At 35.5% G+C, this 24171-nt stretch overlaps 2 annotated features.

Moving 5' to 3' along the window:
- Nucleotides 20729-21228: an enhancer, noted in NCBI's record as "OCT4-NANOG-H3K27ac hESC enhancer chr7:61055637-61056136 (GRCh37/hg19 assembly coordinates)". NCBI's record gives its function as "activates a minimal SCP1, AML or CMV promoter by ChIP-STARR-seq in naive H9 embryonic stem cells {active_cell/tissue: H9 hESC(naive)}" and the evidence as "EXISTENCE:reporter gene assay evidence [ECO:0000049][PMID:30033119]".
- Nucleotides 21229-21730: an enhancer, noted in NCBI's record as "OCT4-NANOG-H3K27ac hESC enhancer chr7:61055135-61055636 (GRCh37/hg19 assembly coordinates)". NCBI's record gives its function as "activates a minimal SCP1, AML or CMV promoter by ChIP-STARR-seq in naive H9 embryonic stem cells {active_cell/tissue: H9 hESC(naive)}" and the evidence as "EXISTENCE:reporter gene assay evidence [ECO:0000049][PMID:30033119]".

Raw genomic sequence — 24171 nt, 5'->3', positions numbered from 1 at the left:
ACTATGACAAAGTGAAATTTATACAAGTAATCCCAGGTTTGTTTAACAGCCCAAAATCCATTAAGGTAATACATCTTATCCATGGAATAAGAAACGAGAATTCCATGATCATCTCGATAGTTTCGGAAAAGACTTTTAACAAAATCCAAATGCTTTAATGATTAAAAATAAAAATAAAAACTCAATGAACCTGGAATAGAGAACTTTCTACACCAGATACATGGCACCTGTGAAAAGCCAACAGCAAGCATGCAACTTAATGGTAAAGGATGCTTTCCTGCTATGGTCAGAGATTAGAATAGGATATATACTTTGACCTCTTCTAGTCAACACTGTACTAAAGATTATATGCAGGGCAAATCGGCAACTATAAAAATAAGAGTCACCCATATTGAACAGGAAGAAATAAAACTTGATTTGAAAATAACATTCTTGTATATAGAAAATTTTAAGGAATCCACTGAACGATAGAACTAGTAAATTATTTCAGCAATATTACAGCATACAAGATAAATGTACAAAAATCAATTGCACACATCTACAATGAAAACCCCAAAATGAAATTAAGAAAACAGTTCAATTTAAAATAGCATCAAAAAAAGAAATAATAATTAATTTGGAAAATGTGATACAAGAGTTTACTCTGAAAATTAAAAATTATTGTTTAAAGAATATCTAAATAATTAGCAAACATCTTCCACCCATGAATTGGAAGATTTAATATTGTAGTACTTTACAATTTGAACTACAGTTTTGATGAAATCCCTGCAAATATCCCAACAGACTTCTGTCTAGAAATTGACAAGCTGATTCTAACATACACATGGAATTGTAAGGGACACCAAATAGCCAGAATAATCTTGAAAAAAGAAAGCATATTAGGATAATTCACACCCCCATGCTCCAAACCTTACTGTAAAGTATCAGTAATCAAGACAACACAATACTGATGAAGGAAAAATATATAGATTGATGGAAGAGAATTGAGAGTCCATATAGAAAACTATGTGTCTATAGTCAGTGGATTCTTACAGTGGTGTCATGTGCAATTCAATGAGGAAGAGACAGTCTTTGAATAAACTGGGTCAACAATGTACACGTAGATCCCCACTTGCAAAATAATAAATTCGAACCCTTACCCCAAAGCATACAATAATATTAACTCAAATGAATTAAAGACACACATGCAAGAGCTAGAATAAAGCATATGGGAAAATCTTCAGGATTTTGGATCTAGCAAAGAAATAGCTGTAACACCAAAAACATGAGCAACAAAATAAAAATTAGATATTTAAAATTTCTTAAAAATTAAAGACGTTGGTGTTTCAAAGGATAACCAAGCAAGTCAAAAGGCAGCTCTAAAATTGTGAGAAGATATTTGAAAAACACGTATCTATATATCTGTATATATATGAATCTTGAATATAGAAAAATTGTTTTAACTCAGTAACAAATATCCCAACTCAAAACTGATAAATGATAGGAATAGATGTGTTTCCCAAGAAGACACACGAACGGTCAATAATCCCATAAAAACATACCCAATAGCATCACTCATCAGGAAACTACAAATCAAAACCACAGTTAGATACTCTATGGCTAGAACTGGCCACTTTGGAAAATAATTTGATGGCTTCTAAATATGTGAAACATAGAATTGTCATATGACCCAGAAATTTATTCCTAGGTATACACCCAGATTATTGGAAAGAGGTGTTCAAACACAAATTGTACACAAATATTTTTAGCAGCAGTATTTAAAATAGCCAAAGGCTGAACACAACTCAAATGTCAATAAAAATATTATTGGATAAACAAATGTTTTATCCATGAAATTGAATGTTATACAGTTATAAAAAGAAATAAAGTACCAATACGTACATGAACCTTGATAGCATTATGCCAACTGAAAGAAGCCAGGCAGAAAAGGCCACCTATTGTATGATTCCATTTAGATGAAAACAGAATAGGAAAATCTATAGAGACAGAAAACAGATTTGTGGTTGCTTAGGATTGAGTAGGGGATGGGTGCATAGGAGGTTAACAGCTAGAGAAGGTGGGGTTTCTTTTTGAAGTGATGAAAATGCTCTAAAATTCAATGTGATGATGGCTCCACTTATCTGTGCATATACTAAAAGCCACTGACTTGTAGACATTAATGTGTGCACTCTACACTATGTAAATTATATCTCAATAAATCCTTTCAAAAATACACAGAAGAGTAAGGGGTTTTGGAATGTTGCAAATGGGAGGCAGTTTGAAATACTGAATAGGCCTCATCGAGAATGTGAAGTTTCAGTAAAGACTTGAGGAAGTTGAATGAGCTGATGAATGGATATATGGAGGGCTATCTTTCCAAGACAAGAAATTAACTAGAGTCTTTGTCATAAGGCAGCAGCATGTTGGCATGTCCAGAGGACAGTGAGGTGGCCAGGACCATTGGTAAGTTCAAGGGTGAAGATATAAAAGAGTTTCGGCGGTTAACATGCGGCAGATCGTGATGGGCTTGCAGACCATTGTAAGAATTGTTGTTTTTAGTTTACATGAAATGGGGAGACAAGTCATTATCCCATTATCAATATTTTAATAAATTGGGTCCATGAACCAAATCCAATGAGATTAAATCAATTAATAATAATATTCAAATTGGTATTAAAATTACAAGAATTATGTGCATATTTGAGAACAGGAGAGTCATGATTGTTTATCCGCAATAATAAACATTATTAATTTTAATTGTGATCAGCTAAAGGAAATTAATTGCAATACATCATGCTTTATAATGTGACTGTCAAAAGGAAACTATGATTGTAATCTTACACTACATCTATCAATGTCTTTGATTCATAAGACTATAGAGTAAGCCCCTAGTTTTCAAAGCCAACTTTTGAGGCAGTGACATCTTATGCAAGTTTGCTGCTTTCTGCCACAGTGATCCTTGGTCAGCTGTCACAAATTGTTTTACAAACGCCCCTAGGTCTAAAAATAGTTTGGATCACAATGAACACAGAATCACCTTCATCCCTTCAGAAATACCTATCAATTACTTCCAATACAGAATGAAAAATTGACAAAGGAAATATGTGGATTGTAAAAATGCCAGTTAGCTTGCATCTACATGAAAGAAAAATGCCATTTTTATTACATTAGATCATTGTTTCACATGAGTTTTGGCATGGCACAATGTTGAACCAAGGGCAAAGAGAGATAAATTAATGAAGTCTTAAGACATCAAGAATTTGAAAGAAAAGGCAGGTTATCTTTGAAGTTTAGTGACATAGCATTCATCTTCTGTTGTCACCTTTTCTGTCATTTCCTGTATGCCTGATGGACAGGTTTCACTCAAGTTCAGAGAACAGCATGCAAAATTAGCTACCAGTTAATCTTTATGAAGTGAGCTGCATTTCTAGCCAGACTGAGCTTACGTTTTAGCAGGAAGCATTTTTGGGAAATGTTTATGTTAGAGTTTGCCCTTCTTGACAAGGTAAGACATAAATGTCTACTTTAGAGACATGAATTAAGATGGGAAGATATTTGGGGGAATCATTTACTCAAACTCTAAATAATAAAGGTACACAAAGGGCAAATTATACTAGATTTCTTTCCCACTTGTTTTCTATGTCTCATGCAATTCACCTTGATTCCCTTCAGTTTCTGTTTAATGTAGAAAGTGGCATTTTCATTATTTTAAACTTCTAGCACAATGAAAGAATTTCTCTTTTTCATGAACAGAATCATAAATGAAAGGGAGGAAGAGTGTCCTATATCATATTTATTGTTCAACAAAACACTGCTCCACAGCTTAAATTCAGTTTAAAAAAGAGAATTTATTGAACATCTAACACATACATAAAAGGCAGTAAAGACAAATGAGAAGAGGGCAGGATATTGAAGTATACAGACTTCAATGCTGAGTTTTATATCTTAGGAAGTTACTCCACCTTACAGAGGCTCAATTTCCCCTGATCTAGGAAGGCGATGCTAATGGGTATTGCATAGGTGTAAGTTGAAAAATGTTGTATTTAAGAGAATCCCACAAGCTTGGTATAAGGCAGAAAATAAATAGATGTGACATGAATAAGTAGTTTATTACATTTGTATGCTACCTGCGGACTAGAGGAAGCAAGAAACACAGCCACTATGCTTGATTAGCATTATAGAGATGGTACAATGATGGTTGTCAGAAGGTGGGGGGAGGAAGAAATGGGGAAGTATTGTTTAATGGGTATAGAGTTTCAGTTTTACAAGATGAAACGAATTATGGAGAACATAACAGCTGCACAATGTTATGACTCTATTTAGTACCACTGAACTGTACACTTAAAATGGTCAAGAGTACATTTTATGTTATGTGCATTTTACCACAATAAAAAAAAATACCTTAGGAACATTTTCATGAAAAAGCCCACATAAAATTCATTTTAATGCACGTGTTTATGCATAGCTTTCTATTTTTCTCTTTTCTCTTTATATTCCAAATTCTAATCAGAGAAGGGAATCCCCTCTGTACCTCCAGGATATTCAGTAAAGACAACTGGAGGTTTATGCCCTAGTGACAGTGCTCATTTAGCTCCAAATTACAGATGGCTCTAGACTAACTCAACAAAGTTTAAAGAGAAGAATTAAAACAACAACAAATACTCATCCTGAAGTTACTGAATTCCCTGCCACAACATTGTTCAAAGGTAGCCAATGAAATGTAGATATTAAATAGCATAACATCAAAATACCCAAAAAAAACTCTGACATGCAAAGAAGCCGTAAGATATATATAATTAAGATATATATTAACAGGATAAAAATAAGTCATTTATAAATGACAGAAAACGGGAAAATTTCAAGGTCCTTAAATTAAATATATTTTATAAATACATATAGATAAATACGTATATATGTCAAGGTACTTAAATGAAAATTGAACATAGGAGAAAAATAGAAGTTATAAAATGAAAAATGTGACATGTATAGATGAAAAATAGATATTTGAAATAAAAATTCCATGAGATAGAACAAGTAATGGATTTTATCCTAACATCAGAAAATTTATAGAAAAAAATAGAAGCTTTACAAACTAAAGGACAAAGGGTAAACTAAAATAAGAAGGCCAGAAACTCGCTGATACGTCAGACGATATCCAGCAGTGTAACATACATGTAATCAATATCTCAAAAAGAATGGGTGGGGGAATTATAGGTGAATAAAGAATGGTACACTCATTCCTGAGGGCACCGAGGAGGGAGGATAGCTTTAGATTTCTTAGGGAGGGTATTATCCATTCATGAAGTTCCAACCCCATGTACAAACACCTCCCAGTAAGCCCCATCTGCGACATTGGGGATCAAATTTTAACATGAGATTGGAAGGGGCGAGTATTCAAACCATAGCAAGAGTTAAATTTCCTTTTTAAAAAAATCACTGATATGATTCCATTTTGCCATAGATAAAAGCTAGTATTTCAGCCTACCATCGAGTGTGCTTATAGCTCACCAAAATGGCACTCTGTCTCGGGAAAACAGATTTGCCTAGAGGTATCCTATTGCAGTCAAAGAAAGAGCAATGAGGGATAGAAAAGTTTAGTGATGGAGACACCAGCTCTGCATTTTGGCATTTTGCAACAAACAATGTAAAAACTTTACGGATTGGTTCTGCTAACTTACTACAGTTTACATTCCTCTCCGGTGGGAGAATTGTTGCGTTTTTTCTCAAGAGAGAAAAGCAATTCAGATATTCTGTAATCTCCACAGGAAGGATAAGAAGCAAAGCAGAAACTATTCTAGGCAGGAAGTCAATCCTTTCAACTGTCTGTGCTCCATAGAAACAATTGTCTGCGCTGGGAGTCATATGAGGTACAGACCACAGCCAGACCTCTGATCCTCTCATTAGTGATTTCAGGAGAAATTACAAGTCAACTGAGTAATTCACTGAGTAAAGTAAACATTTGGCACTGAAAGAGGTTAGAAGGATAACTATTTCTATCACCATATTCATGAAGCTGGAATATTTTCCATTACTTGTATCACATCTGAATGGAAGATGTTAAAAGGTCTCTCATCTTGTAAGATGGATATGACAGAACTTTCTCTGAGAAATGAAATTACTAACACACCTGCGAGGTGGATGGAAGAGAAAAAAAAGAATAATCAGCTTGAGTTCTTCTCCTTGATAAGACAACTCACTAAAACCTTAAAGAGAAAAATACAAGTTTAAAATAATTAACAAGAAGAAGACGACTCTAGCGTTTTTAAATTGCTGATAAGATTTTAATTTGCTCCAAGTTGAAAATAATTATATTGCTTGTGTTTTAAGGCACATAATGAGCACTTATATCACACATGATAGTTTCAGCAGTAAAATATTATCCGTTAACAGCTGGAACTCATAAAAGCATAGCACAATGTGAAGATGGAATTTGCTAAAATAAACCATCTGCTGAAAACTACTATTCTGCAAATTTAAAAATAAAGTTTGAATGTTATTTGTCCTATTTAAAAGGTCTGTGAAAAAAATGCACTATATGAAAAGTAGCTGCTACCTTAAATAATTATTTTAGACGGCTGGTTACAGTAATGCACAGTAAGGTGCTACATAGATATATTGCTAAATTTTCTGCATATACTATGTATTTGGCTTAAATTATTTGAAATTATATAGTTAAAATAACAAATGCATATTTAAATGTTTTGACACAAATTGCAAATATACCTTTAAAAAGTGTCTTACACTCTAAATATTATTTGTCACCTATATATTTGTCTTTTCTCTATAGGAAAGTTTAAATTTTTCCCTTGAAGCTTTAATTATTTGAGTCTATAAAACAAACTGATAATGTACAAATTAACAGGAAACAAAGGTTTACAGATATGTGCACAAGTATGCAATTGGAGTTTACATAATGTATATAAATATATCTATACAAATATTTGTATAATATAAATAGATATACAAATATATACTATATATATAAAAACTCCAGGAAAGGCAAGGTATTCAACACACCTATGCTGTCTTGAGGTTACAGAAAACACAGAGCTGTAGGTTGGTAAATCAGGCTTTGCGGAAGACAGGTGACGACAAGGAAGAAAGGGGAGCCTGGCAGCAGAGGTGGTCTTGTTACATGGATGAAACCTCAGAGGGAGCAGCCCTCCTCTTGGGAAGTATAGATAGGAAATGGTTTTTAAAAATGTAAATGTGCCAGGCTCAGTTAATCTTTCCTAAACCCAAACAAGGGAGTACCTCAGGGAAAGCCTGTCTATATGAATGCAGATTTTCTCTACAAATGCCAATCTTCCCAACAAACACAGCTTTTCAGCTATTCTTGTAGAAGAAGCTATCACCAGTCTTCCGAGTAGCCATCTTGAAATATGTCAAAAAGCTGGCCAGGTGCACGCCTGTAATCCCAGCACTTTGGGAGGCTGAAGTGGGTAGATCACCTGAAGGTAGGAGTTGGAGACCAGCCTGACCAACATGGTGAAACCCCGTCTCTACTAAATACCAAAAATTAGCCGAATGTGGTGGTGCATGCCTGTAATCTCAGCTACTTGGGAGGCTGAGCTAGGAGAATTACTTGACCCTGGGAGGCTGAGGTTGCAGTGAGCCAAGACTGTGCCATTGTACTCTAGCCTGGGCAATAAGAGCAAAATTCCATCTCAAAAAAAAATGTAGGGTAATATTTTGAGTATCTTTACCTCCATATGTACAATAAATATTATTGTGATTTTTAATCTTTTCTGTGGAGAAAACACAGGTGTGATTTCTAGTGTAGCTGAACATCGTTTATTTGACAATATTGCACTTGTATGTGGGTGTGTGCGTGTGTAGCTACTCTTTAATTTTGTTCTCACATAATGATTAGATATTAACAATTAATTCAGTAAAATGTATGTTTTGCAATATTTCTCCATGTTATCATGCTTTAAATTAGTTTAATCATGTCCCTATAATGTGTACATTTTAACCTTTGACTATAGGTCTCAATCTTACTTTGGTTCCTGTATTTGAATTTATGCTAATAAAGTCCTACAGCTAAAAAGATTACATAAACTTATCTACATTTTTACTAGTATTCTGGTGTCATTTTAAATTATGTAATGAAATCAAATTTTAATTTGGATTATTGTTATCTGAGTTAAGGATCTAAATTTTTAATTTTCTATAAATATTACATAATTATTTCTGAACCATATATTGACTAATCTGTCCTTTATATGAGGTGTATTATAAGAGCTTGGGATTGTTTCATTTGCAAAGATGAATGCTTGAGAAGTAGATATTTAATCACAACATTTCAACATCTACTGGATAACCTAGAATTGAAAAATAGCCTATAGGTTGAAAAACTCCTGTAGTGAAGAAAGAAAATAACTAATATACAGTGACAATATAAATATTATAAGTATTTATTTTTTATCACCCTGAAATTTGATAATACAAACATGTAATATCTACATATCATCCATATATCAGGTCCTAAAAAATCAATACATTCTGCAAAAATTTAGCATAACAGAAAATGCACTCTCTCTCCTTGATGGATTTAAGTTACAAATAAAAGTAAAAATAAGTAGATAAGTAGATGGAAGTAGATGTTTGAAAACAAAGAAAAATATTTGTTTTGGATAACATTAAATCTCAATTGACAATTCCAATATTTCCAGAACTTTGCCTGTCAACTGGTGGAGAGTTTTTCCCAGGAGACATTTGTCAATATCTAGGGTTATTGTGGGGATGTCAAGACTGGTGGAGGTGTGAAATTTAGAGGTCATACGAAACACCTAGCACTGCTAGGGCAGCCTTCCACAACAAAGAATCCTCTGGTCCTAAAGGTAAGTAGCAACAAGGTTGAGAAACCATAATCTAGACAGGAAACACTACGTAGCTATTCCAAGTGCTCAGGAAAACACATCAGTGCCCTCGAGGGGAAAAGTGTAAACATTTTAATTGCTGTACATGGTGACACAAATCCATGTTGTTAATCTAAGTGGAAGGGGCTGAAGCACAAAACGTAATTCAAAGAGTTTACTTGAGCCACAATGAGGACAGCTGCCTGGAAGAAACAGACCCAAGTATCCTTGGATATGAACTCCCTTTGGAGCTTTGCAAGAAGCAGTTTCTTAAAGGCAAAAAAGGGTCCAGAAGTGGGATGATGTAAAGAGGTTTGTCACAAATTCTCATTGGCTTATGGAAATAACATTTATTAGTGACTGGCTATACACTGTTACACTATTATTGGGTGTGGATTAGTGTCTGATGTGGCATTATTGGTTAATTTATAGCTACTGTGGCAACAGCAAGCAGCCTAGATGAACACACAGCTCAAAGAGGAGCAGGACAGAACTTCTGTCTCATTTGAGTATCTCTCTGGACCTGATTATTTAAAGGACTTGCATTTCTCTCATGAAAGTTATTTTCTTTTCTCAATGTCCATAAATGAGAATAAATAGACGTAAAATAGATCTTTTCGAGGATGAAGTAAATGGAATGAAAATCAAAACCCAAGCTGACCAGAAATCATAGAGGGAAGAAAAGGTTATAAATATATCGATTTTTCAAAGTGATTTTAAACTATTAGGAATCAGTTAAATGTTGGGGGATTTTGTCTGAGAATAGGCTAAAGGAGAATGTCCCTTTTGCCTTCTGAAGTTTCCCTGAAAATCACTAATAGGAGGCAGATAAATAGTAGAAAAGGCATACAGGTTTCTGCAATGTGTGTACACTGGGGCCCTTAGAACGAAGACCTAGACACATGATGCGTGCAGAAGCTTATCTACCACATGAAGTTTACAGAAAGAATGGGGTCTTGGATCACAGGGAAAAAAAAAATAGGTTATGTGTGAAAACGACCCTGGCTAGCAACAGTGGACTTGTTACATAGGTGGAACCTCACTGGGAGCAGTCCTCAGAGAGAATAGACAGAAAATGTTTCTTTCAGACCTTTGGAGACCTCAGATTCTCAGTTAAGCTTTCCTAGATCCAGACAAAGGGGCAGACCTCAGAGAAAGCCTGGCTGCATCAAGGCAGATTCTCTACCGATGCAAATCTCCCCAAGACAGCTTTGCAGCTAACTTTGCATTTACAGCCCTTCTCAATAGCCACTTTGACATATATCAAGGAAATATATTTAGGGGTAAAATATATTAGTTTCTTTCATACAGCTATGAAACATACAGGAATAATTTTTGTCAATGTCTACTACAAATCCAATATAGCAGTAATTATAAAACCCACCAGATATTGAAGAAAAAATATGTAGAGTACCTCAATTACAAATGTTGATACAAAAATGCCAAATAAAATAAAAATAATATCCAACAATATTGAAACAGTAAGACAAGAAATTGGCAAAAAAAATAAAACAAATATCCACCTTGGGTATGAAAGTGTGTTTCCAAATTTGGTAATCCAATAATATTAATAATCATATTGATTAGCCCAAATTAAAAATAAATAGGGGATTCTCAGTACATGCTAAAATATATTCGTTAAAAGGCAATATTCATGTCTTTAAAGATTTTAAATGCTATAAAGGGTCTGATATTCTATATGCAAACATGTGTATGTCCATTAGAAGAATAGAGACCTGATTTTCATGTTACTACATAGAGATAGAGAAGTGGATAGATTAATTTGCATATGCATAGAGAAAGCATAAAATAGAAATTGACTGTCATATTAAAGGAATTTTAATTCAACAATAAAATAATTCAAAGGTAAAATTTTAAATATTTTTAACAGGTACATTATTAATATTAGATACTATTTATAATAATTGTGAAAATATTCAGTGCTAAAATAAGATACAATGTCTAAACATCATTATTAAAAGTAGTATAAATATTTGCTTCTTTATACAAGGAAAATTCAAGCTCGACCTAAAATTATATGGGAAATAAAAGAAAAATTTTAAGGGAGCTCTTTAATAACATAAACATATATATATACACACACATATAACATGTATATATGTTATATGGGATAGATATAGATTTAACATGTTATATCTATATTTGTATCTATAACTACAGCTGTATGTATCTACATTTCTATATATTTACTCAGTGATATAAATATAGACTGGAATAAATATAAGGTGACATATGATTCTTGGATAAAAAGGATTTAGTATCATAAAGACAAATTCTTTCCAGATTCACTTATGAATTCACAACCATATACAGTTTCATTAGTATAATTTAACACTTTTAAATAAATTCCTAGATTCATTTAAAGGAATATACATGTATACAAACAGTCAAGAAAGAAGCAAGAGTGCACTAAACTAACTTCCTATTAAAATACATTTTTAAACTTAGTCACTAAAACTGAGCAGTACTGATTTGGAGTACTGGAATTTTGGTATATGGGATCTCAAAAGCACAGAGCTCAAAGGAGACCCCTGTATGCACGAGAGCTTAGGATGTGCTTTAGAAGGCATTACCAAACCACGGGCAAAGTTACTTCAGTGTCTTAGTCTTACTAGGTTTGAAAAGCCAGATAAAAGACTCAAGACCACCATATAAGAGCAAAACAGAAGGACAGGGAGAGAATTTGAAGATACTGAAACATTTTACAAAAAGTTGTATAAAACATCTTTTAAAGAAAATGTAAAGCTTAGGATATACATCAAAATCAGCAGAGCCACTAAATAAATAAATAAATAGGCATTGTAAAATAGCAAGAGAAAATTTAAGTGGATTTCTAAAAAATATTGGCACCTATGATTTTTAAAATATGTTAAGATATCCCGTATTTCACAGGGCAGCCTTTCACAACACAGATATGTTAGGACATAAAGGTCCTTCTGTTTTTAATTTACTAGTGTTTATAGGGTTACACATGTCTTCTACCCTTGTCTTTTGTCTGATGGTGCAAAAAATTCTCATAAGCATGTATTTCTGAACGCCTGATGGATTGACATATATAATATGCTGCTAGTATTAAAATATGAGACGGAAAACGCATCCAATCTTCTCACTGTTTACATAAATTCTAGGTTTCTCCTATTTACCTCAAGCACGTATGGAGCGAATTCTTCCCTTTTAATATTGCCATGATATTCACATTGAACATAAGTTGAACTCTCTCATATGGTAGATGGGTTCATATTCCCTTGACAATTTCCAGATCTAACCCTCACAGTTCCTCAGTGTGGCTGGCCCAGATATTGACCCTACACAGTTGCCTCCTCGTGGTGACTACCAGCTATGGAACCGTTGGATACAACCTACCTGACTCACCCCAAAGACCACACAGTGCACATGGACAACCCCCAGACGCCACAGTGACATGCTCTCTTGCTGCGGGAGTCAAGAAATGTGCCTGCTGGCACTCACTCCACCGACTAGTGCCCATGTAATACTTATTTGGGTAATGTTCTGGGCCCAATAAAGGCTGGAGTCACACAGAACCCTTTTCTCTCTCCCGCTCCCCACTCATCTTCCCCATTTTGTTCACCCTATGAGGTGTGCTACTCTATTAGTCCATTTTCACACTGCCGGTAAAGACATGCCCAAGACTGGGTAATTTCCAGAAGAAAGAGGTTTAATAGATGCACAGTTCCACATGGCTCTGTAGTCCTCACAATCATGATGCAAGCTGAAAGGCACGTCTCACATGGCAGCAGACAAGACAAGAGAGTTTGTGCAGGAAACTCCCCTTTATAAAACCATCAGATCTTGTGAGACTTATTCACTATCAGAAGAACAGCATGGGAAAGACCTGCCCCCATGATTCAATTACCTCCCACCTGTTCCCTCCCACAACATGTGGGAATTCAAGATGAGATTTGGCTGGGGACACAGCTAAACCCTCTTCTCAGCTACCCTCTCTTCTCTGGATCTGTGAGTAATAAACCTACTTCTGTGATTTCCCATGTTTGGTTCTGTGGCCTCCATGGGTCTGACCTGACCTACACTGGAACCTAACTCTCCTCCTGGCCAGGGTCTCTGAGAGTGGCTCTTGTCAGAAATACACAGGACACAGGTGAGGCAACAGTCACCAGGCATCTCCGAGTCTCAAAAGATGTTCTGTGAGAGGGAGGCCTGGTCGTGGCATGCACACCTGGCCACTGCTGGGGTAAGGAAGTGTCCTGTGAAAGGCACATGTTAAGCATCCACAACCCCCTGACCCGAACCCCAGAAAGGCAGGGCTGCAATTGACAGTCACTCTCCAGAGACAAACCTCAAGCCCTAACTGGAGGAAAATAAAACAATGTAAAAAGTTGAATTTATCTTACTATTGCAATGATCCAGTAAAGACATTCTATGCCTCTACACCACATATTTTCTTCGATTGTGGATTTATTTTAGATAGAATTTTAGGTCTGGCTTTCACTTTAGCCTGGTCCCTACCTCAAGCATAAGGTAAAGATTTTCCATGCGTTCTTTTCTGGTACTACTACCTGCCAGTGTGGGGTCATGTCCTAGTCTATCTTGAGGGAATCCCCCTGTTCATTATTGTCACAGTGAGACTGTTAAGTCTTGATTTCCCTGGACAACTTCACTGCATGACTTCTAATATGATTTTTTAATATACCCTTTACTGGACAATAAATTAAATCATTATCTGAGTAAGAGATATGGTCAGGAAGAGGCATTGCCTCATTCAGCTTTTCTCTTTGGTGAACTCGCATATGTTCTCCTCACCCGCCAGTCACCTCTAAACCGTATTGTTCCAAGACAACAAACAGAACTCGAGTGTGTATCTTTAACCACTGGATTTGTGTTTGCTCCATAAACTTCACACTTAATAGGGTTTCTGTTAGCATTTTCTCTATTTATTTTCCCATAAAATATCACAGGCCTTCTTCATATGGAATTATGGGTGATTTCCTTCAATCTGCATCATATCAAGTTGAGATTCATGTTGATGAAAAGTAAAACATACGTTGAAAATATCAGTAAGGATGCTTTCCCCTCCTTTTTAGCACCTGTGCTTGTGATACAAGCACATTTTAATACAATTGTAGTCTCATGCTTTGATAATTCCTATGATGAAAATAACATTTTTAGATAAAATATCTGAGTTTTATGAGGACTTTAGTATGTGATGTGATAGAATATCAGAAGACTATACTTTTTTCTAGTTGTCCGTGCAATTCTATCATTGTTTCATCTTTACTCCTACCAGAGTAAATTTCCAAAATAGATATGTTGTCATTCTTCCTGTTGTTATCAGTAAATAAGAGAAATGAAAGCCTAGATTATATAATTTATCTAGAACAAGAAAGTAGAATTGAATCTATATTCATTAATGAGACTAACCAGTCAATTACACAGATAGGCATTTTACATTTTGAAGATCATATGGACCCATTGTCAGAAATATTATTATTTATGTCTATATGGACATCACCTGTTCATATTTACATAGAAATCAATGAGAGCTGATTTTTATTTTTATTATATATATATTTTTGAGATAGGGTCTTCCTTTGTTGCCCAGGTTGGAGTTCAGTGGTGCAATCACTGCTCACTGCAGCCTCAGCCTCCCAAGCTGAAGCAATCCTTCCACTTTGGCCTCCCAAATAGCTAGGACAACAGGTGCACATCACCATGCCCACTTTTTTTTTTAACTTTTGATAGAGACTGGGTCTTGCTATGTCGCCCAGGTTGCTTTTGAATTCCTGGGCTCAAGGAATCTTCGCATTTCAGCCTCTTCAACTGCTGGTATTACAAGCATGAACCACCATATGGGCTGGAAGCTGATTTTTAAAATACTGAGATCATATAGAAGACAGTGCCTGAAAAATAGACAACACCAAGCTTTATGTTAAAAGGTGTGATGGTATCAATATTGTTGTGGCCATTGGGGAGGAAACCATTAGTAAAACAACTAAGTTAAAGCTCTTGCTTTAAACTTTGGCTTTAATTTAACAAATGTTCTATGGAGTGACAGTATGTATGTAACCATGCTATACCCATTCACAGATGCAGTAGAGGGAAGAATTTCTCAAACACAACTGTTCTAAGACTCAAACTGTACTGGGTTTGAAAAGAGAAAGTCCAGGAATTACCAAATATTTTAGATATCAGATACAAGAGAATCCCAGGTATGCGATGATAATCAGCAATGGTTGTTCACAAGATACATCAAATCAGTATTTGATTTAGCTTTTGAATTACAAGGACAAATGGATCAAGTCTAGACTCTTTAGTAGATAAATCTTATTAGGCTGAGATGTGTTTTCCCCTGTTTTTCCTCAAGGAGATTACAAATTTGCAAACCTCAGCTGCTCTCATTTTATGCTCTCACCAAGCCAAAAGCTGAAGTTCATCAGTCAATGTGTCTAAGTGTTCACTGGTTATATACCATTTTGTAGTGTCAGCTATCTTTCCAACTTCCTAAATCATCACCTTCATTTGATCTTGTTTCTTTCACTATCACTTCTTTATTGACCATATAAAGAATATAAGTAAGTTCTTATTTTGTTATTGTTCATTTTAGTCTAATTTCATCAAAAGATCACAATCTTTTAATTTCATTTTCATTTCAAAGATTAAATGAAACCTACATCGAAATGAGTGTAAGATTTGCATTTGCATTATTTTGCCATCAATTTTCTATCCTCCCTCATGCACATAGAGATCATTTCCATGTACATGATTTCAAACATCCAAGTGCAGTATTAAAAGCAGTTTTTAAATTATGGTTCTCATTTTCATGATACAATTACAATATAAACTTCCTCTTGCTGATGTAACCAATTACCATAAACTTCATATCTTACAATAAAGTGACCGTTAATCCTACAGTTCTGTAGTTCAGAAGCCTTAAATGAAACTCACAGGGCTAACATCAAGTTTTGGGCAGGGCTGCAGTCTTTCTGAGGGCTATGTGGCAGAATCTATTACTTGATTTTTTTCAGCATCCAGAGGCCACCTTTATTCTTTGGAACATGACCTCATTCTTATATCCCATTTTCCTTTTTTTTTTTTTTTTTGAGATGGAGTCTCCTTCTGTCACCCAGGCTGGAGTGCAGTGGCACGATCTCAGCTCACTGCAACCTCTGTCTCCCGGGTTCAAGTGATTCTTCTGCCTCAGCTTCCTGTGTAGCTTGGACTACAAACACTTGCCACCACGTCCAGTTAATTTTTTTGTATTTTTAGTAGGGATGGGGTTTCACCATGTTAGCCAGGATGGTCTCGATCTCCTGACCTCGTGATAAACCCACCCTAGCCTCCCAAAGAGCTGGGATTAGGCATGAGCCACCGCGCTGTGTCCTCATTCTTGTATCTTAAAAGTCAGTGATGTTGAGTAATTTCTCATGCCACCACCTCCAAGGTTGCCTTTCTTCTGCCTTCTTCTTTCACTTATAAGGAAGTTTGTCATTTCATTGATCCCAGCCATTTAAGAAAATCTCTCTATCATTTTTCTACAACCTTAATTTCACTTGAAATCTAATTTCACACTGCCGTGCAACCTAACATATTTGTATGTTAGACTCTGGGAATTAGGACATGAAAATTTTTGGGAGGCCATTCTTTGGCCTACAGCAGACAAAATCTATTGACCTGCAGATTAAAGCGTTCTTTATTTTTCTGTTTCCCTCTCTTAATTTTTTAAAAATAATATGAATTGCATTAAAGAAAAAGAAAGAAAAAAAACAAAGAACGAAAAAGAAGAAAGGAAAGAAGGAAGGAAGGAAATAAACAAAGAAAAGAAGGAGGAAATGAGGGAAGGAAGGGAGGGAGGGAGGAATGGAGAAAGGCAGGAAGGGAGAAAACAGAAAGCATGAACACAAGAAAGAAAGAAGGAAAGAAAGAAAGAGAGAAAGAGAGAAAGAAAGAAAGGAGGAAGGGAGGAAGGAAATGAGGAAGAGAGAATGGTAAAAGGGAGGAAGGCAAAGAAACAAAGAAAATAAACAGGTGAAGGAAGGAAGGAAAAAGAGGAAAGGAAGGGAGGGATGAAGGAAGTAATGGAGGGTGGGAGGAAGGAAGAAAAAAGGAAAGAAAGCAAGAACGTGAGAAAGAAAGAATATGAGAAAAGAAGGAAGAAAAGGGAGAGAGAAAGGAAGGGAGGGAGGAGGGAAGGAAGAATAAGAGGAAAGAAACAAAGAAGGAAATAAGGAAGGAAGGAGAAAAAAGAAAGAAAAGAAAGAAAGGAAAAGAAAAAAGAAAAGAAAGGGAAGAGGAAAAGAAGAAAGGAAGGAAGAAGGCAAGGGAAGGGAAGAGAAGAGAAAGGAAGATGGAAAGAAGGAAGGAAGAACGCAAATATTAGAAATTCTGGGTTTGTTAGAGAATATGCCATACTGTTTTTTTTTTCACTTGAAAGGAAAGAGTATCTGTCATTGAAGATTGGATGTCTTGTTGGTGATAGTGTTGTTCTTATCTTCTTCCACATATTTACTGAGTTTGTGCCTAGTCTTTCGATTACTAAGACAAAAGTGTTGAAGTCTGCAAATATAATTTTGGATTTTTCTAGTTCACCTTTGATTTCTTTCCTGTTTTACCTCATGTATTTGGAGGTTTTGTTGTTAGCTGCATACCATAATTAGTAGGATGTTTAAATCTTGAGATTTCATTATTCTATTATCTATTATCTCTCATCTCTGATAGTATTTCTTGTTCCGAACTATGTTGTGTCCAATATCAATGTAGTCCTTCCACAGCCTTATTTTAGTGTTTCCATGATATGGCTTTCTCCATATCTTGATGATAACCTATTTATATCTCTATATATTTGGAGCAAGATATAAAATTTAGACGATTTTTTAAAGATTTTTCAAGATGCAATACTTATTTCTTTTTGTTCTATTTGACATTCTCTGAGTTTCCTATATTTGAAGTTTGATTTTCTGTCACTTCTTTTAGAATATTTTTGGCAGTTATTTTGAAAAATATTTCTTTTGCTCCATTATTTTTCCCTCTTTTCTTTTTGGGATTTCAATCATAACTAGAGTAGGTAATTTCATCTCAGTCTTATGCAGGTACTTTTTCTCAGGGTCTCAGGAATGTAGACTTCTCACACTTCTGTTCTTTTCCTGGCTGTGTTGGTGAGCTCAGTGATATTCCTCCTTCACCTTCAAGAGCAGTTTTGTTTTGTTTTTCCTGTTTTCATAATCCCAGCATCAGGAGGATCCTAAGTGTGGCAGTTTTTGTTGCCTTCCCCTACATATTAAGTGGAATATATTGGTCTGTTTGGACTCTTATAACAAAATAACATAAACTGAGTGAGTAAAAAGCAACAGATATTTCTTTTTTCACACTTCTTGAGGCTGTAAGATCTCAGGTCAAGATGCTCACAAATTCAGTGTTGATGAGAGCCCATTTCATGGTTCACAGATGCTGCCTTCTTTCTATGTCCTCACATAGTGAAAGGCACACAAGAACTCCAATGAGCTTCTTTTATAAAGGCACTAATCCCATTCATAAGGGCTCGGACCCCAAGACCTGGTCACCTCCCAAGTTTTCTGCTCTCCCTGATCTATGTCATATAGAGACTCTCGTGGATTCCTTACCAATTGCTTGAGAGATTGCAGTGGGTTTGTGGGGAAAAAGATTTCGAGATGATGGATCTTTCCCAACTTCTGCAGCTGTCAGCAGTCTCCCAATCTGACCAGCCCCACTTTGTCTTTAGGAATTTATTGATTATTTCAGCTTTACTTGTCATAGTGGTGTCTATTTGCATCTGTCCTATGTAAGTGCATCTGTCCTTTTTCTCCTTGCAGGTGCAAGTACTCAGGAGTACACTGTTGTTACTAATTACTCAGTATTGGTTGGTACATTGTCAAAGATCAAAGAACATTTTTAAAGATAAAAAAAAATTCTTGGAGGTTGTGTAAGGAAGGGTTAATTCTGCAGACATGGCTTTCCAAAACCTTGTGCATTCCAAAGTTCTTCAGGACTAGCCCTTGACAAGCTTCTGGGAGATGATAACCTATGAGCCCTTGGTATATGTTGCCTGATGAGAGTCTTTGTATGCGTGACAACGTAGGTCATATCAAATAACTGATGCTAACAACGTGATTTCTTGTGAGTACCTGTTTCTGTATGCCTATGACTTTGTGTAATGCCATATTAATATGACCTCTCTTAGGGCATAGGGAGGTTGGGAACTAAGTTGCTAAGTTCAGTCACAGGACGCTCGATGCATATGTGGTGGAATCCTAATAAAAACCCTGGACTCAAGACTGACGGAGCTTCCCTAGTTGGCAACAAGTTCACACATGTTGTCTCACACCATTGTAAAGAAAATTAGTCAGTGTGAAGTCCCCACTATGAAAGGACACCTGTAAGCTCACATCTGGTTTGTCCTGGACTCTACTTTATGTGCTTTTATGCTTCTGATTATTTTAATCTGGCTTCTTTCACTGTTAGAAACTATAACCACAAAAAAAATCAGCTTTCTTGGGTGATGTGAATCATTAAACCAAAGGGGGACTTGGGGACCCCCAATAAAAAGTATATATATTCTTAAAAAGAAAAAGAAAACTGGCTATAGCAGATATTGCTGATGACTTGTCTTCTATGTCCTGGACTCAATGTGTTCACCTGAAATTCACCTGTTTCCAGCTAACTGAGAGCTCCCCACATCATGCCTGTCTTTCTGATTTTTGGGCCTGCCTGCAAGCTTCTTGAGGCTAACCAGTGCTTCTCAACCACACATAGGAAAAAAGAAGGAGTTAAGGGTGGAGAGTTAATGATTCTAAGGCAATCCTTAAGCAATAAGAGATGGGAATTCCAGCATCCCCATCTCTTTGTAAAGTTATTTTGACACAATCTCCATACCTCCATCATTACTGAGCACATAGCAGTAACTACTCATTCACACTGGCTTCGTGTTCTGTTTCATTTTCTCCACTTCTGTGCTTTCTCACTCAATTTCTGATTAAAGTATCTGACCCCAGATATTTGTTTCATAGTCTATTTTTGAGGGAATCCAGAGCCAAGACAATAACAATGGGAGCTTTGCAATGAGGGAGGGTGAGTATAATCATCAGAAGGTTACATACCTCACTGGGAACATGAAGGCCTGGAGAGCTTGCTGTTTCAGTGAGAGAAACATGTTGAATGTCAGTTGAATACATACATACATATATATATATATATATATATATATATATATATATATATATATATATATATGTGCAATAAGACGTGCCCTTTACTTATATCAAAGGAAAGTGCTCTTTACCTCTCTTTGTTGTTGTGTTTTTATCACTATTGCCTACACAAGCAGAATATCTTACCCAGGATTTAAAGCCCTCTCTGCAGGATTTTCAAGCTCATGTTTTTATCATAAGTCACTCTGCTTCCATGTGTTTTAAATCTAATCCTCATTCCTCTGCTTTTACACCAGAGAATTCATCACTGACTTATTTTTGACTGACCTCCTTATAGAGCTGTCAAGTACACAATTTCTGCTGTGACCTTGCTCTTAGAGTTCAGTCATATAGCCTCTCACTAGATATCATTTCCTCTTATCTTTCCTAATAATGAATTGTCAGTTAAAACTCAACATTTTTAAGATTGAGCTTACCATCTGCACACACACACACACACACCATTATTGGTGTATTCTCATAGCCTTGAAACACTAATGTCACGTTGATGTCTGCCTTTTCTTTCTCTGCTACCTCATTCCTCATCCTTAGATTATTCTAAAAGATTCAATTAGATCAAGTTGGCTAATTATATTTATAAGATCCTCTCTAACCTTCCCAACATTACATTTAACAAAATTTAAAAATTTCTGGCAGGAGACTGTTGAAATTCCCATGGATGACTATGGTTTTACTATTTTACCTTTCAGTTTTAATAGGTTTTATATTATGTATTTTAAAGTAATGCTATTGTGTGCGTACATATTTCATATTTACATGACTTCTTGGTACATTTTGCCCTTTGTCATTGTGAAATGTTATTCTTCATCCCCAGTGATATTTCCTGTTCTGATGTCTACTTTGCTCATCACAGTTTTCGGGGGTTTTGGTTTGTTTGTTTTTCTATTGTTTGGTTCAAGTAAGTTTCTTATAAATCTGTTCGATTCCATTTGATGATTCCATTTGATTCCATTTGAGGATTCCACTCGATTACATTCAATGATGATTCCATTCGAGTCCATTCAATGATTCCATTCGAGTCCATTCGATGATTCCATTCGATTCCATTCGATGATGATTCCATTAGAGTCCATTCGATGATTCAATTCGATTCCATTTGATTCCATTCGATGATGATTCCATTAGAGTCCATTGGATGATTCCATTCGAGTCCATTTGATGATTCCATCCTATTACATTCAATGATGACACAATTCGAGTCCCTTCGTTGATTCCATTCAATTCCATTCTATGATGACTGCATTCGGTTCCATTCGATGATGATTCCAACGGATTCCATTCGATTTCTCCATTCGATTCCATTCCTTGCTGATTCCATTCAATTCCATTAGATGATGACTCCACTAGATTCCATTCGATGATGATTTCATTAGATTCTATTCGATGATGATCCAATTCGATTCTATTCAATGATGATTCTATTCGATTCCGTTCAATAATTTCATTCGATTGCATTCGAAGATTCCATTCATTTCCATTCGATGGTGATTCCATTCATGTCCAATCGATTATTGTTTTGATTCCATTCGATGATGATTCCACTTGAGTCCATTCGATTCCATTCGATTCCATGCAATGATGATTCCATTGAGTCCATTCGATGATTCCATTTGATTCCATTAGATGATGACTTCATTCGGTTCCATTCGATGATGATTCTAACGGACTGCATTCGAAGACTCCATTCGATTCCATTTATTGATGATTCCATTCGATTCCATTTGATGATGATTCCTTTCTATTCCCTTTGATGATGATTCCATTCGATTACATTTGATGATGATTCCATTCGATTCCATTGAATGATGATTCCATTGGATTCCATTCGATGATTCCATTTGATTACATTTGATCATGATTCCTTTTGGGTCCCTTCAATGATTCCATTCTATTCCATTAGATGATGATTCCATTCGATTATTCCATTCAACTCCATTTGATGTTTTCTTTCAATTCCACTCAATGTTGTTTCCATTTGAGTCCATTCAATGATTCTATTCGAGTGCATTCCATGATTTTATTTGATTCCATTCGATGATGATTCCATTTGATTCCATTCGATGATTCCATTTGATTTCATTTGATGATAATTACATTAGATTCCATTCGATGACACCATTTGAGTCCATTCAATGATTCCATTTGATTCCATTCGATGATGAATCCATTCGAGTCCATTCAATGATGATTCCATTTGAATACATTCAATGATTCTGTTGGATTCTATTCTTTGTTTTATTTTGACTCGTTTTGATGATGATTCCATTCAGTTTCATTCGATTATCCCATTGTATTCTATTCGATGATGTTTCCATTCGATTCCATTTGAAGAAAATTCCATTCAATTCCATTGATGATGATTCCATTCGATTCTATTTGATGCCGCTTCTATTTGATTCCATTCAATGATGATTCCATTTGATTCCATTTGATGATTAAATTCGATTCCATTCGATGATGATTCCATTCGAGACCATTCGATGATTCCATTCAATTCCATTCAATAATGATTCCATTCGGGTCCATTCGATGATTCCATTCAAGCCCATTCGATGATTCCATCTGATTCCATTAAACGAATACATTCGATTCCATTCTATGATGATTCCATTCATTTCAATCTGATAATGGTTCCATTCGATTCCATTCAGTGATTCCATTCGATTCCATTTGATGATGATTCCAATCGATTCCATTCGATGATTTCATTCGAATGTATTCGATGATGAGTCCATCCATTTCAATTTCATGATAATTCCATTCGTTTCAATTCGATGGTGTTTCCATTCGATTCCATTCGATGTTGATTCCATTAGTTTCCATTGGATGATGATTCCATTCGAGTCCATTTGATGATGATCACATTCGATTTCATTCCATAATTCTATTCGATTCCATTCGATGATGATTCCATCTGATACCATTTGATGATTCCATTCAATTCCATTCGATGATGATTCCATTCGTTTCCATCCACTGATGATTCCATTCGATTCCATTCGATGATTATTCCATTTGAGTCCATTCGATGATTCCATTTGATTCCATTCAATGTCGATTGCACTCTAGTCCATGGATTATTCCATTCCATTCCATTTGATGATTACATTCAAGTCCATTCAATGATTCTCTTCCATTCCATTCGAAAATTCCATTTGATTCGTTTGATGTTGATTCCATTCGAGTCCATTTGATGAAAATTCCATTCAATTCTATGTGATGATTCCATTCGATTCCATTTGAAGATGATTCCATTCGATACCATTAAATGATTCCATTCAATTCATTCGATAATGATTCCATTCAATTCCTTTTGATGATTCCATTCAATTCCATTCGATCATGATTCCATTCAAGTCCATTCAAATATTAGATTTGATTCCATTCGATGATTCCATTCCATTCCATTTCATGATGATTCTGTTCAATTCCATTTGATGATGTTTCCATTCGATGATGATTCCATTTGATTTCATTCAATGATTCCATTTGTTTCCATTCGGAGATAATTCTATTCTATTCCATTTGATGATTCCATTCAATTCCATTCGAAGAGGATTCTATACGATTCCATTTGATGATGACTCCATTCGATTCCATTCCATAGTGATTCAGTTCATGTCTATTCGATGTTTCCTTTCTATTCCATTCGACAATAATTCCATTTGAGTCTGTTAGATCATTCCATTCAATTCCATTCAATGATGATTCCATTCAATGATTCCTTTCTATTTCATTCGATGATGATTCCATTCGAGTCCATTCGATGATTCCATTCAATTCCATTTGACGATGATTCCATTCGAGTCCATTTGATAATTCAATGCGATTTCATTCAATGAAAATTACATTCGATTCTATTCGATGATCCCATTTGATTCCATTTGATGATGACTCCATTCGAGTCCATTCGATGATTCCATTCATTTCTATTTGAAGAGGATTCCATTGGATTCCATTCCATGATTCCATTCGATTCCATTCGATGACCATTCCATTCGAGTCCATTCAATGATTCCATTTGATTTCATTCGATGATGATTCCATATGAGTCCATTCGATGATTCCATTGGAATCCATTTGATGATTGTTTCAATTATATTCGATGATGA

The sequence above is a fragment of the Homo sapiens genome, chromosome 7 (assembly GCF_000001405.40).
Source record: "Homo sapiens chromosome 7, GRCh38.p14 Primary Assembly".
In the NCBI taxonomy this organism is placed as follows: Eukaryota; Metazoa; Chordata; class Mammalia; order Primates; family Hominidae; genus Homo; species Homo sapiens.
This window is presented reverse-complemented; position numbering and strand designations above follow the sequence as displayed.